Genomic DNA, 16,026 nt, shown 5'->3' with positions numbered 1-16,026 from the left:
GAAGGACAGCCAACTACTCAGGCATCCTTTGCAGGATTTGATTTGCATTTTGAAAAGTGGGCTTGTGTGGGGAAAGCCTTCTGTAGAGGTGTGTACTTAGGTGCTGGGGGAAAAGACAGGAGACCTGAGGACAATAAGAGATGGTAGTAGTTGGTTCCTATCTCAGAACAATGCACTGGCCCCTATGGGAAGAGAGGCAAAGAAGATGTACCCTGGAAACACAGCACTATTTTGGCAACTTAAGTGTTTCACAGTTTGGGAACATCTAAGCAAGGCAGCATTCTCCTACAGGAACAGCAGCAGTAGAAATAGTGGAGGCCCAACAGAAGCCTGGCACGAGTAGGCTGCACCCAAGAGTGTGAACTTGTTTGTGAATCAGTGAGGAAACCCCTGAGACTTCCAAAAATACTTGGGGAGAGGACTTTTCAGGCGACCGAGATCTCACATGTGATGGAATTCTGAGTCAGCAAAATCTGGGTGTAAATGCTAATGTGACTTTATAAGAGAACATTGATCCTTGAAATAGCTGGGTTCCATATATAACAAGATTTGGCATTTAAGTATGAGCCCTATAATGGCTATACTGTCATGCTAAGATTAACACCATGCAACAACATGGATGAACCTGGAGGACATTATGTTTAGGAAAGTAAGCCAGACACAGAAAAACAAATACTACATGATCCCACTCATATGGAAGACAAAAAAAGTTTTATCTCATAGGGAACAGAACAGTGGTTACCAGAGACTGGGGAGGGGAGAGTGGAAGGAAGGGAAGGGGGGTCAATGGGTACAAAGTTACAACTAGATAGGAGGAATAAGTTCAGGTGTTCTATTGCACAGTAGGGTGACTATGGTTCGCAACAGTAAGGTAGTGTATATTACAAAATAGCTAGAAAATAGGATTTTTAAATGTTCTCGCCACAAAGAAATGATAAATGCACGAGATGATAGATATGCTAAGTACTCCGATTTGATCATTACACAACATATACATGTATTGAAACATCAAATTGTGCCCCCATAAACATGCACAGCTTCAATGTGTCAAAAATTATTGTAAAAATTGAAAAAAGAAAAAAAAGAACTCTATCCACATCTTAAGATTGGCCAGGTGGATGTTACGAGCTTTGAGAATGAGGTCACATGATTTCTTCTGTGTTAGTTAAAAGCATAATTAATTTAGATTACGCCTTTGACTTTACTAACAGAATAGTTTACTGACTTACATATGCCCTCACCTCACTCTATCAAGAAGCTGAGGGGTCTAAGCAAAATAAACTGCCCCAAGGTTACCTTTATACACAAATTTTCAGGTAAATATTAATGAACTTTGACTCACATCATCTACATTTTCTAGTACAGAGTGAAATTTTCTCTAAAACAAAAGCATTCAATATAACTGCTTTTGTGCCACTAATATTTTTGTTATCAAACATACCACAAATGACAAACAAAGCAAATCCACAGAAGCTTCATGGGACAGGGACTATAAATAAGTATTCATCTCAAGTGGGATAAAAACGTTCATAAATTTAGTAAATTTTAAAATTTTAAAAATTTTAATTAAAATACTACGGAAAGAAAAACATTTGTTAAAGAGTTTTTCTGATTGTTCCTTTTAAAGGAAAGTTTTGACATGTTCATCATTGTTGTAGTCTTACCTGAATAACGCTAATGTTGAGAACATCTACCGTTGGTGCCAGCCACCACTCTGACACTCTACCTGAATTACAATGGCACCCTAACATATGTCCACTTGGATAAGAATTCAACTTTAGGAGGAGTTTCATAAAGTCTGGCGTAGGAAGCATTTGCATTAACGAAGCCACATTTGCATTTCTCAGGCTTTAGGAGCAGAAAAGCTCCACCATCTGCACAAACATATAGATCACAGGAGTTACTTCTGTCTTCACAGTTTACTGGTAGTTTACTAGTTTTTAGCAGTAGCATTAGGACTTCTATGATGGCAGTCTACCTGGTGAGCATAATGTTTGAATGATTTTCACTAATTTTTCCTTTTTTTTTTTTTTTTTGCCTTAGAGGTTCAACTACATAAATTATCACACGTATGTTGTTCGTTAGCTGTTGTCTTCAGTGTACACTGGGCAATAGCTATAAAAGCTTAGGGAAATGGCCATATGATCGAGTGATTCTGAAGAGAAAATGCCTTGTTAGGTTGTATTGGGATAGCTACTGTCAACTATTGAAATAACTGTCATCATTTTAATGAGATTTGATATTGTTTTAGCAAAATGTCTGTCAGTTTTGGAGCTCAGCACATTTTTTTCCTATCTACAGAAGTTAATGGTAATCATATTCTTGACAAGGCAAAGTGAACCTATGAGATTTTTTTCAGAATTATCTTTTTAAGATGGACACTGTAACTCGTTTAATCCTCATAACAGTTCTAAGAGATAACTACCATTTATTGTCAGATATGTATTTAGCACCTGTATTAGGCTGTTCTTTCTATAAATATCTGCGACTGGGTAATTTATAAATTTATAAAGAAAAGATGTTTATTTGGCTTATGGTTCTACAGACTACAGGAAGCATGGTGCTGGCATCTGCTCAGCTTCTAGGGAGGCCTCAGGAAGCTTACAATCATGGCAGAAGGTGAAAGGGGAGCAGGCATGTCATATGACGAAAGTAGGAGCAAGTGATAGAGTGAGGGATGGGGAGATGCCACACACTTTTAAATGACCAGATCTAGACCTCGTGTGAACTCGGAGCAAGAGCTCACTTACCACCCAAAGGATGGCCCAAGTCATTCATGAGAGATCTGATCTAATCCATACACCTCCCACCAGGCTCCACCTCCAAGATTGGGGATTACATTTCAACATGAGACTTGGGTGGGGACAAATATCCAAACTTCATCAGCATTTATATCCAAGGATTATATGTAATACTAAAATAGTCCTGCTCTAGGTGGACACTATTGTCATCCCCATTTAATAGTGAGGAAACTGAGGCACAGAGAAATTAAGTAGCTTGGCCAATCTGAAATTAATATTAGTCTGTTTTGTAGAACAAAGAACTGTCACAAGTATCTATGTAAAATATTTACACCACCACCTACCAATTATTGAGGCTAAGCACTGTACAATTTCTAAATTAATTCTTCCAACCCTGTAAAGTAGCTATTATCTTAATTTTACAGATAAAGAAACTACTGCACATAGAGAAAAAACTTGCCAAATATCATATAGCTAGTTAGTGATAGAGCTGAGATCTGCCCCCACATGTATCTAAGTCAAAACCTATGCTTTTGACCAAGTCAGAAGTCCAGTACAATATAATCACAGATGGGGAGAGGGAATAGGATTTCTGAGTTGAAAAAAAAAGCTATATTTCATTATTATTATATTACCTCCAGTATAGCAAATAACAGAAACAGAGGTGAAAAAATCTCTTAGAAATTGGTCTCTATACAATACCCAATGGTACAACGACAACATAAGGAGAAATGAGTTTTCTAATGATTTTTATGATGACATTTATAACATTTAAAAGTAGTTCAAACTGAGAAGAAATGCTTTTAGCCTTAAAATTAAAGCTAACAAAAGTCCCCCCACCTTTCCTACCTTCTTTACAATGCAGTATGTGTGCTCCAGCATTACTTACACTGTGCCACATGTGGCAGGAGATTTGTTATTCCCTGTAACAGCTTACTCAGGGAAATTATAAAATTCCTTCTCTCAGGTTTCTAAAAACCAGTTTTTTTTGTCTGATAGGGTGGTTTAATGGTAGTCCTTTCTAAAATCAGAAAAGTCAAGTGGATAACCTTTCAAAGTTTCTCCTAATCCTTGTATGAAATAGCTATGCCAATGGAGTACTAAAAATCTTTCCAAAAAATGTAAAGGGATGTTTGTTAAAATAATGCTCAAGAGGTTTGATTCCAGTACAGTAAGTAACAATGCAAGCTGCTATACTACATAAAATATTCTACAGGGTTCAGAATAGAATATGTTAGAAACTTCTATAAAGGCTTTTTGTGCAATGGCGAAATTTTATGGTTAGAAATTTTATTCAAATGTACACAGTTACAACTACCATCAAATAAGTATAAAACATATTCAAAGAATTAACTAGAAAGGGTTCTTCAAAGGTAATCCTAAAGTATCCTAAAATATCAAGAGTATGATGGTAGTAACAAGACCATGAGAGAAAACTGAAATTATACATCAGGTTTGTAGTTTCAAGATACCCATAACTTTAATGTAATAAGGATAGTAAGCAGCCTTCGAGTATTTCCTATCTTCACTAACCTTAGAAAGTTATTTGCCAATTTCATTTTACCAGGGAGGAAATGGAAGCTTAAAGAGATTAGCTCATGTAGCTAATATACAATTGATCTGGGTTTAAAGTTTAAACCCACATAGTCCAACTACAGAGCCCAAGCTCTTAATCACTGTGCTATGCCTCCTCCATAGCATAGGACAAAACTTGTTCACCATCAAGAAAAAAGATTTTTAAAATACTAAAATGAAGTGAAATGGCCAAGGAAGAAGAGAAGCAAAAGCCTTTGGTAGTCTTCAAACTGAATAATCCTTGAATCATTCTGACCTCACTTTGTCTTTTAGGGGTTTACTCCAATTGGCTACAAATATAATGGGTCCAAGAACTGGGGATTAGTCACCCATTTTATTTGTAGCTGATTTTTCCCAGTTCCCTTTTGCTCTCTTACCTATCATGTTGGGGGGTGGCGGAAGGGTACCTGCAAATCCAGACAAGCAGACTTTAAAATTGTGTTCACATCATCACATTATTCCAGTTGTTTCATTACTCATGTACATGGTAATTTCAGAAATTCTTAGAATAATCTGGTACACTAAATGTCAATTATGATTGTCGGCTCTTAGCAACCCACTGTGTGTTGTTCTGGCTTCAAGAAGGACTCCAAAAATATGGTCACTCTTGTTTACATCCTCTCTGGAAATTCAGATAATATGGAATCAAAATAAGCATTTTAAAGTGCAAGATATTTTCTGCTCTCCTCAGCTTTCTCTGTTCTTGACTATTAAGAAGAAACTACCCTACAGGCCACCATGCCAGGGTATAAGAAGAGAAGGAAACAGATATCAGTAACATAAAACAGGTACCTTATAAATACTGCCTAACTTTTGCCATTCATATCTAACTTCCTTCAAGTTTTCAAGCATGGGTCACAAACAAAGAAGACAAGAGCACCATACAATAATTACTGAAAATATAAGCATACAAGTGATTTTTCTATTAAAATACTTTATGAAATGATATGTAAAATTATTATACAGGATGAATTTTATTAGTCTCTGCTTTTAAAAGCTTTTAACAAGAAGTCTGCTGCTAGTCCTGGGGACAGGGCCCCAATGAGAACCTTTTGTTCCAGAAGTGGAATCTGTTCCCGGACTGTGGGGTGGGTCCTGAAATGCTCTAACACACTTTCCTGAATGAGATTCCACATCCAAACTTTCTGTTGCTTCCGTCGTTTGGCAGTCAGCTCCCCACTGGCAAGCATTAGGTCCTGGAAATCTTTCATTTTATCCCACATTTCAGAGATCCCCTCTCCACTTCGGGCAGAAATACGAATTACCTATCGAAAAGGGAAGAACCAGACCATTTTACTTAAAATGATAGAAAAAATTTTTACAGGGACGCTGATACCTGCCAGTTAATTCTTACGGTCTACAAAAATAGGCAATTGACAAGAGTGAGATTTTATTGCTGTGTCAAAGTAAATATACCAATATATATTCTGAGGTAATATACCTAGGATTACTAAGTGCATAGCAGAAATAAAACACTGATTCAAGGTCAAATTTTAAGCCCAGAGATTTATTTTAATTTAATTTATTTTATTTTAATTGCTCAGATGGTCAGGGGCATCATAGAGGACTTGTGACAAGGGCAATGCCAGGTAGGTTCCCCTGAGGACTGAGTGCCAGAAAATGAAGCTAGGTTGAGAAATAGCCTAATTCTCTCTGCCAAATTTGCCTGATTTAGCAAGTGGAAGAGCTGGGTATCTGACATCTGCATGTATATATGAGGTGAATCCAGACTCAATGCAGACAACATGATTGGGAAAAACTGGGATATGACAGTAAGATAAGTCATCATTGTCCTCATTATAATGATTACAGCTTATTCTTTAATAACATAGTGTCTGTCTACAGATAAAGATGACCACATCAATATTACTGCATCACTTATTACAGGATTAAAATTTTTTCCTTACTGAAAATGGCACCCAACAAACATAATGGGAATCAAATTCCAATATAGATAATCAAATCATTAACTGCTCCATAATCTTAATAAGGATGGTTCCTTTCAGAATGGATTTGCTATCACTTCCAAATGGCTCAAATCAAGTATTACAATCACATCTATCATCTCTGATCTAGTTTTTGACATCTAGTGGTTAAAGGATTATATTTAAAATCATGACTACACACTCCGTCTTTGTCATGATTTTTAAAACTATCATCTTCACATAGAAGCAAGATTGATTATATGTCTAGTTTGGGACTTATATCCTGTCTTCTAATGTACACAATCCATTCAGAGTGAAAGATACAGAATGCAAGCAAGCTTACCTTTGGTTTCCAGACTTGTGAACGTTTGCGGAGTAATTTCAGTGCACTCACATATTCCGCTTGTATCCTTCGAGCTGGCACAATCAAGTCTCCATCAGATTTAGTTACAGCTACCAGATCTGCCATCTCGATTATACCCCTTTTGATACCCTAAAGAGATCAGAAACATTTAATGACAACCAACATAAAAATGGGAAAACTAGTCAATGCTCAGATTTTGAAAGTCATACATTTCATTAACTTTTCATCCATATCCTCCTAAGCCCTGGATGCCAAGAATCACCATTACTTGACAGAAATTACTCAAAAGCATTGGCTATTGGAATTATAGAAGTCATCTGTAATATCTCTTCCAAATTTAGAGACTAACATGTTGAAATACATTCAGAATTAGGGTAAATACATCAAGTCACAACATGATTGAGTGGCAGGACAGTTCACATTATCTCGTGATGGAATGTGCTTCTCCTGAGCTAACACTGCAGGATGCAAAACCATTCATCATTAAGGTGCTTAAAAAGAAAACACCTATCCTTAACATCTGCATTTCCAGAAAAAAGTCTTTGAAATTTTCCTTAAATGTATATAGCATTTTATTTTCAATTTGCATTTGAGGAAAAAGAACCTGATGCCTAAAAATATGTCAATCTCTTTTTTTATTATTATTTATTTTTATACTTTGTATTTTTCTTATTTCAGCTTTGCGTGGACAAACCTCAATCTCTTAATTCAAATTATGTCACATAAAAATATTAGAAATAAAGGATGAAATCCAAAAGCCAAACCTTATTTAGTAAATACAGATTTTTCTACATAAGATTAAAATTTCTTTTCAAATATTTTTAAACAAAACATTCAATTATGAAATACTAATAGTTAATGTTTCTAAATAAGCAGCGATAGTCTGCAATCACTATGTTTTAGAATTATAAAATTGAAACAGAAGCATTGTATAACAAATAATTTGTCTGGGCTAGGTGTGGTGGCTCACACCAGTAATCCCAGCACTTAAGGAGGCTAAGGCAGAAGGATTGCCTGAGGTCAAGAGTTCAAGACCAACTCGGGCAACAAAGCAAGACTTCATCTGTAGAAAAAAAAATTAAAAAATTAGCCGAGAGTGGTTGCACATGGCTGTAGTCCCAGCTACCTGGGAGGCTGAGGCAGGAGGGTAGCTTGAGCCCAGGAGTTCAAGGTTACAGTGAGCTATGATCATGCCACTGCACTCCAGCCTGGGAAACAGAGTGAGACCCTGTCTCTGAAAAAAAAAAGGAAAAAATTTGTCTGGTTTTTGGGTTTCTGGGAGGTAATCTTTTAAGTTCTAAATTCCCAGAATTTCCTGAGTAACAGGAGTGTCTGTTATTCATGGGAGGTGCCTGGGGCTATACCTGGGTTTTTTTGTTGTTGTTGTTGTTTTGAGACAGAGTCTCACTCTGTCACCTAGGCTGGAGTGCAGTGGTGCGATCTTGGCTCACTGCAAACTCTGCCTCCCGGGTTCAAGCCATTCTCCTGCCTCAGCCTCCCAAGTAGCTGGGACTACAGGCGCCTGCCACCATGCCCGGCTAATTTTTTTTGTATTTTTAGTAGAGACGGGGTTTCACCATGTTAGCCAGGATGGTCTCAATCTCCTGACCTCGTGATCCGCCCACCTCGGCCTCCCAAAGTGCTGGGATTACATGCGTGAGCCACTGCGCCCGGCCTATACCTGAGTTTATGCAATGAGATCACTCAGGATGGGAGACTGACCATGGCAGAAAGACTTATCATGTGATTAGAGGGTTGGGGTTTTATGCCATGTGATATCAACCCAACTTCCAGGGAGGGGACAGGGGCTAGAGATCAACTTCAATTATTCAGTCAATCATGCCTACATAATGAAACCCCAAGAAAAACTTGGGACACTAAAGCTCAGGGGAGCCTTCTGGTTGGTGATACACATCAATATGCCAGGAGAGAAATGTGTCTTGAGGACACAGAAGCTTTGCATTTCGGCCCTCCCAGGCTTCTTATGTGTGTCTTCATTTGGATGGTCCTGATTTGTCTCCTTTATAAGCACGCTGCAATTGTAATATAGTGCTTTCCTGAGTTCTCTGAGTCACTCTAGTGCAAGGGTCCCCAACCCCCAGGCCACGGAGGAACTGGGCCTCACAGCAGGGGGGCAGCAGGGGGGCGAGCATTACTGCCTAAGCTCTGTCCCGTTAGATCAGCAACAACATTTGATTCTCATAGGAGCACAAACTCTATTGTCAACTATGCATGCTAGGCATCTAGGTTGTGCACTCCTTATGATAATCTAATTGATGCCTGATGATCTGAGGTGGAACAGTTTCATCCTGAAACCATCCCCCCTTACCCCCAGTCTGTGGAAAACTGTCTTCCATGAAACCAGTTCCTGATGCCAAAAAGGTTGGGGACCACTGTTCTAGTGAATTACTAAACCTAAGGGATAATGGGAACCCTCAAATTTATAGCCCGTTGGTCAGAGGTATGGGTGGCCTGGGAACCCTGGAGCTTGCAGCTAGTAGTGTCTGCAGTGAGAGGAGGCTTGTGGAGGACTCTGCCCTCACCCTATAAAGTCTGCACTAACTTTAGGTAGTTGTGCCAGAACTGCGGTGCAGAGGAGAGTAAGAATCTCATTGTACAACATATAAACTATGATAGTGGGATCCCACTCTCCCCAGAACTTTTGAATCAACGTACTAACAACATCTATGCAACAATGGTCTCTACTGGCTGGAGCGATCCATGTATTTCAGTCATGTTACAGATGGAAAAATTAATGTTGCATAATTTTACATTCTCAAGGACACATATTCTATTCCTGTAAGTTAGGAAAAAATATAGAGAATCTGCCTTTGATTCAGGTATTTTAGCCAACATGAATGATATTTCATTTTCTAAACCATTATCAACTTAGTTTACAAAAACACAACATTGGAAATTTTTATTTTCAGAGATATACATTTTATATTTTTGGGGGAAAAAATAAAAATAATTACCTGCAGCTCATCTCCTCCTGCTGGTGGCAGTAGTAAAACAAACATGTCAACCATGTCAGCAACAGCAAACTCCGACTGACCCACACCTGAAATTGTAAATCACAACTATATCCTAAAATACTCACCATTATTTGACTTTCTCAACTACATTGACCATTTCCATTCTACTTCATTTACTCATACTCATGGTCACACAGTCAACCTGGTCACTCCTTTAAACATCTCACTTCTGAAGAATGTATTAAATGTCATATCTTACCCTCTAAGCAAACCCGTTATCCTTCCCAGCTCTCCCGCTCCGTTCTTGGATTGAATGGAGAACCTAAAGGCTTCCATCCTCTCCTCACTCTCACAGCTCTTTCTTGGCTTCCTTTTCATCAGCGAGCAGCTTGAACACTGTGACTCTAATCTTGAATCATGCCTACAAATACTTTCATCTTTTTTGTCTTCTTGTCCTCATACTTGCCTGCAAACGCCCAATTATGTATGGATCAATCCAACTATGTGTGTTCTCTCCTCCATAGGCACGTGAGAGAAATCACTCAACTCTGTGGACAAGAGCCACGACAGGCAGCCTCTGCTACATCTTCCTTACGGCCTGGCAAAAGCAATCTCCCTAAATGCCCTCGGTTGGCTTCCGTTCCATTTCCCACAGCAGCTATTATGAACATTCACTGTCCCATAATCTCCCCGCTTGATGAGGACTACAGCACCTACTTCACAGAGGAAATAAAGGCAAGAACTTCCTAGGCTTCTCCCTCTCCCGTACTCCACAGGTAACAAGACACAAATACAAACTCAGCCTTACTGCCTCCTCTGCAGTCTCAGTGTAATAAGAACTATTTGACTGAAAAGGAATCTCTCATTCCTTTCCACTTCCTCTGGGTCCTTGCTGATTATTATCTTTAACCTCTCATTTATCTACAGGCTCTTGCCCCCCGGCACAATACATAAATTGTGCTCAAATCTTTCTCATCTTAAAGCCACATAAAACAAAAACAACAACAACAAAATAACAAGACAAAAACTCACAAACTCCTCCAACTATCACCACGTTTCTCACTTTTATTAAAATACTCGTTTCTGGAAAAAGGTAATTTATGCTGACTCCTTCCACTTCACTTCATGTTCATCTCACCCCACTTAAAACTGTCTTCCAGCCCGGGTGATGTAGTGAGACCCTGTCTCTACAAAAAATACAAAAATTAGCTGGGCATGGTGGTATACCTGTAGTCCCAGCTACTTGGGAAGCTGAGGTGGAAGGACAGCTTGAACCTGAGCCTGGGAGGTTGAGGCTGCAGTGAGCTGTGATTGTACTGCTGTGCTCCCACCTGGGCAACATGGTGATACCCCACCTCAAAAAAAAATCTACTTCCACCAAAACTCTGGAAACTCTCTCCCTTTCTCGGTGTGATGGACTTCTAGTTGCCTATTTAATATTTATTCTTCCCTATTTTCTTATTCCAATGTTATTAGGAGTATCAGTGTATCAGATGAAAGACCACATTCACAAGATCTCCTTTCAGCGAGATATGATGAATGAGTCAAAGCAACAGTCATTAGATGGGGTTCCCAGAAAAGTTTTTTAAAGATGGCTAATTCAGCTATACCTCTTATGCCACCCCTCTCTGCTTCCTTATTTCCCTTTCCTTCTTCCATCTATGTGGAACATGGAAGTGTCAGTCAGAGCTTCATCAGCCATCTTTTAACCATGAGCAAACTGGAGGATGGAAACTGAGTGCTAAGAATGGTAAGCAGGCAGACAAAAGAAACCTGTGACACCGAGGGCACTGTCAAAGCACCATACCTGCTGTGGACTGCCTGCCTCAGGCTCCTTTGTATTTTAAAGAGAGATTGGGTCTTGCTCTGTTGCCCAGGCTAGAGTGCAATGGCACGATCGTGGCTCACTGCAGCCTTGAACTCCTGGGCTCAAGCCATTCTTTCACCTCAGCCTCCTGAATAGATGGAACTACAGGTGTGTAACACAATGCCTGGCTAATTTTTTTTTTTTTTTTTTTTTTTGATAGAACCAAGGCTTGCTATGTTGCCCAGGCTGGTCTCAAACTCCTGGGCTCAAGCAATCCTTCCACCTTGGCCTCCTGAACTGCTGGGACTACAGGTGTAAGCCACCATGCCTGACCTCAGGGTTCTTTTATTTTTTGAGACAGAGTCTCACTCTGTCACCCCAGCTGGAGTGCAGTGGTGCCATCACAGCTCACTGCAGCCTCAGACTCCCCAGGCTCAGGTGATCCTCCCACCTCAGCCTACCAAGTAGCTAGGACTACAGGTGCATGCCACCATGCCCAGCTAATTTTTTTATTTTTCTGTAGAGACGGGGTTTTACCATCTTGCCCAGGGAGGTTTGGAACTCCTGGGTTCAAGCAGCCTGCCTGCCTTGGCCTCCCAAAGTGCTGGGATTACAGGCTGGGGCCACAATGCCCGCTCTAGGTCTCTTTTATATAGAAAATAACCTCTTTCTTGTTTGAGTCACTGTTATTTTGAGTTTCTGGGAAAGGTAGCTAAATATAACCAGGTAATATATTTGGTTTTTAAGGTGCTCTTCTCCTTTGATTCTCCTACTACTACTCAGGCAACTAACTCTTCATTCATCTACTTTTTAATGGTGGAGTTTCTAAAGCCCTGTCATGGCTATTGTTATAAACTGAGCTGTGTTCCCCTCATCTAGAAACATTCCTAAGTTAGGCCGGGTGCGGTAGCTCACACCTGTAATCCCAATACTTTGGCAGGCCGAGGCGGGCGGATCACAAGGTCAGGCACTGGAGACCAGCCTGGCCAATATGGTGAAACCCCGTCTCTACTAAAAATACAAAAATTAGCCGGGTGTGGTGGCGTGCATCTGTATTCCCAGCTACTCGGGGGGCTGAGGCAGGAGAATCATTTGAACCCAGGAGGCGGAGGTTGCAGTGAGCCAAGATTGCACCACTACACTCCAGCCTGGACAACAGAGCGAGACTCTGTCTTTAAAAAAAAAAAAAAAAAGGCCAGGCACGGTGGATCACACCTGTAATGGGAGGCTGAGGCAGGCGGATCACAAGGTCAGGAGTTCGAGACCATCCTGGCTAACACGGTGAAACCCTGTCTCTACTAAAAAAAAAAAAAAAAATTAGCTGGGCATGGTGGCAGGCGCCTGTAGTCCCAGCTACTGGGGAGGCTGAGGTAGGAGAATGGCGTGAACCCGGGAGGCGGAGGTTGCAGTGAGCCGAGACCCCGCAACTGCACTCCAGCCTGGGAGACACAGCAAGACTCTGTCTCAAAAAACAAACAAACAAACAAACAAACAAACCACATTCCTATGTTAAAGTTCTAAACCTCAAGGTGACTTTATCTGGAGATAGCGCCTTGAAAGAAGCAATTAAATGAGGTCATAAGGGTAGGGCCTTAATCCAATAGGACTAGTGCCCTCAAAAGGACAGGAAGAGACACTAGGAGAGTGAAGTGAACAGGAAGAGACAAGGGAGAGTGAAGATGCAGCAAGAAGGCAGCCATCTATCTACAAGACAAAGGTCCGGGGTCTTAGGAAAAACCAACCCTATGGGCACCTTGATGTTGAACTTCCAGTCACCAGAACTGTGAGAAAATACATTTCTGTTGTTTAAGCCACCCAGTCTGTGGTATTTTGCTATGGCAGCCCTAGCAGATTAATATAAATATCTTCCATTTTTGTCCCATATTTTCCCCAGTTGATCTGAACCAAATTTTTAACTTAAACTATGAAACTATGAACCATGCTGGTAACTGTTAAATCTGTATTTCTCATTCAGTCCTTTTCTCTTGAGACACACAGTCACTCGGATACCTAATAAGCATTTAACACTTAATATATTCACAACTGAACTCATTGTTTTCCTCTCTGCAAATCTACTTTTTCTACAGTATTCTCTATTATCTGCAATTCCCCTTCCTTCCTTATCTCACATCTTATCATGGATAAAATCCTGCCCATTTATCTTCAGTGTTTTGTTGATCTATCTCATCGCCATTCCTACTTCCTTTGCTTGGTTCAGACCTCCACCATCTCCTTCTGGGATTAGTACAGTGGTCTCCTGATTCTATTCTAGCCCTCCTTCTAATCATTCTATACTCTGCTGCCAGGGATCTCTCCAAAATACCTATCTGGTTTTCTCACTCTCCTGCTTATCCAGCAGGATCTTCCTGCTCCTTTCAGGGTAAACTCCAGAAGACTCCTTGGCATGGCATGTAAGGTCCCTGACAATCTGGCCCTGGCCTACTGCTCCAACTGACCTCCCTTCATTCCCTGCCTTCACACTCTTTGCTCTAAGTATCCTGAGCAAACTGTACTTCTCTGGATGGGCCATGTTTTCTCACTCCCGTGTATCTTTGCAAATGCCCTTTATCGCATACTTTGTTTATCTCCAATTCTTCCTTCGAAACTGAGTTCAGCTGTGACCTCCTCTAGGAAGTCTTCACTGGACCCCCACATCTGAGTTAGGCTGTATCACAAACATTTATCCCACAGTAATATAATAGACTGTCTCTCCACAAGAAAGAATTTATTAGGGTTTTCATTTCAGTGTCTTCATCACATGTAACTATATGCTAAGGATATAAAACAATGAAATAAAACATATTTGCATTTTCAAAAGGCACCCAACTACATTAATTTTCTTGATGAACACAGTAGACATATGAAATGTACTTAAAATAGGTGTTGTGCCAAAGCATCATTTACACAGATCATCCTAATGTTTACAGTTCTCCTCTGGCATGTATAATATACCACCTGTATAACAGTTATCCAGATAGATGGCTTATTTTTACTTTTTAAAATAAGATCTTGGAGGGTAAAGATTATAACCTATACATTCATATCTTCTAGGGAGTATGGGATATCTTGTATTTAATTATACATTTAGCAAATATCTGCTGAATGAACAAAAATAAGTTGTCACTCATCTTTATATAGCATTCATAAAATAGTACATTGTTATGAAATAGAATATCACACTCACCAACGGTTTCAATAAGAATTATGTCATATCCCGCTCCTTCACACAACAGAATAGCTTCATTTGTGGTCCTTGTCACGCCTCCTAAAGTTCCTCTAGTAGGAGATGGCCTGATGTATGCATTCATATCTCTTGATAACTCAGTCATTCGGGTTTTATCACCTAAGAGTGATCCTAAAACATACAGTTACATTTTATAATCATGGAACAGTTTTACGGGTCAATTATCAGCCAGTTCCTAGAGGGAAGTGCTTTATGCCATTTCTCCCTAAATCTCAAACTGCATTTCATATTACTGAGCTTCTCTCCAACTCATTGTATACAATGATGTCAGATTAATCTTAACATTTCAAGCCCCTCAAAATCTATAATTTATAGCTTCCCCCTGACCAAAGGTTCCAATCTAGATTCTTCAGCCGCACCTTACCTGTCCAACTCTGGCTTCTACTAGTCCCCACACCAATCCTCTGTTCCAACCAGGGTGGTTACTTTACTGTCATCTTAACATCACTGTGTTTGCTTCGTCCCATCTTTTTTGTTTGTGCTCTCATGCCAGAAGTATCTCTCCTGCTTCCTCACTGCTAAGTTACAATGTGTCAAGCCCAGGGTCTGTATTCTGGCTCCACCATTTCACACTATTCAATTTTGAGAGGTCACTTTACCTTCCTGAATCCTCTTTCCTCAGCTACATCACAAGGGTAATATGCTACTGGGAGAAGCAAATGTAATTATATACAGGAATGTGCTTCAAAAACCGTTAATAACAAAAACACAGAACTTATCCACCTTATAAAGATCAGTAAAAGTCCTTGCTCCTTCATATAGTCTGCCTGGAACCTTTTCAGCCCATGCCCATCTCTGTGATTTTCTAAGGTACAACAGCTCTGCAATGTATGCCAGCATCCTGGAGGGCATAAGAGAACTTTAGTGTCCCTCCCCTTTCTATTATCTCCATGAGCACCCTCCACTCCTCATTCTTTTATTTTTGCAAATGACATTTTCTCAACCTTACGTAAATGCTACACAAATATATCTTCAAGCTGCCCCTTCTGCCCAGTCTGTTGCTTCTAATCGCCTACTACTTAGAAAATTTGGAGCTCTCACTGAATGCAATGTAAGCTGAGTTAATGGATGGAAAACTATTCATACAACACATTTTTTGGTTTCATATTTTTAATTCTTATCTCTTTCACACAGTGGTTCTCAACTGGGGGCAATCTGGCAATGTCTAGAGACATATTTACTTGTCACAAGTGAGGGGTAGGGTGCTACTGGCATCTACTGGGTAGAGGCCAGATATGCTGCTAAATAAGCATCCTTCAATGCACAGGACAGCCACCCACAACAAAGAATGATTTGACATAAAATGTCACTACCGCCAAACTTGAGAAACCATGCTTTAAATAAGTCTTTGCCTACAGGACCACGTCTTACATAGGTTGTACACTAAATGCTTAA

General features: G+C 39.9%; 1 protein-coding gene across 3 annotated transcripts in view; it reads right to left on the bottom strand.

Annotated features, from left to right (window-relative positions):
* The window catches only part of MMAA (metabolism of cobalamin associated A), a 40,649-nt gene continuing 25,317 nt past the window's right edge, over window positions 695-16,026 (bottom strand). For all 3 annotated transcript variants that reach the window (NM_001375644.1, NM_172250.3, XM_011531684.4), the window contains exons 4-7: window positions 14,572-14,742; window positions 9,581-9,666; window positions 6,585-6,734; window positions 695-5,581 (exon numbers count right to left, since the gene is read on the bottom strand). In NM_001375644.1, the coding sequence (NP_001362573.1) occupies window positions 5,294-5,581; window positions 6,585-6,734; window positions 9,581-9,666; window positions 14,572-14,742 (695 nt within the window). In that variant the 3' untranslated portion in view covers window positions 695-5,293. The remainder of the gene's footprint in view (window positions 5,582-6,584; window positions 6,735-9,580; window positions 9,667-14,571; window positions 14,743-16,026) is intronic.

This window comes from Homo sapiens, chromosome 4 (assembly GCF_000001405.40).
Source record: "Homo sapiens chromosome 4, GRCh38.p14 Primary Assembly".
Taxonomy (NCBI): Eukaryota; Metazoa; Chordata; class Mammalia; order Primates; family Hominidae; genus Homo; species Homo sapiens.
Note: the sequence above shows the minus strand (reverse complement) of the source record. Positions and strands in the feature narration are given on the sequence as shown.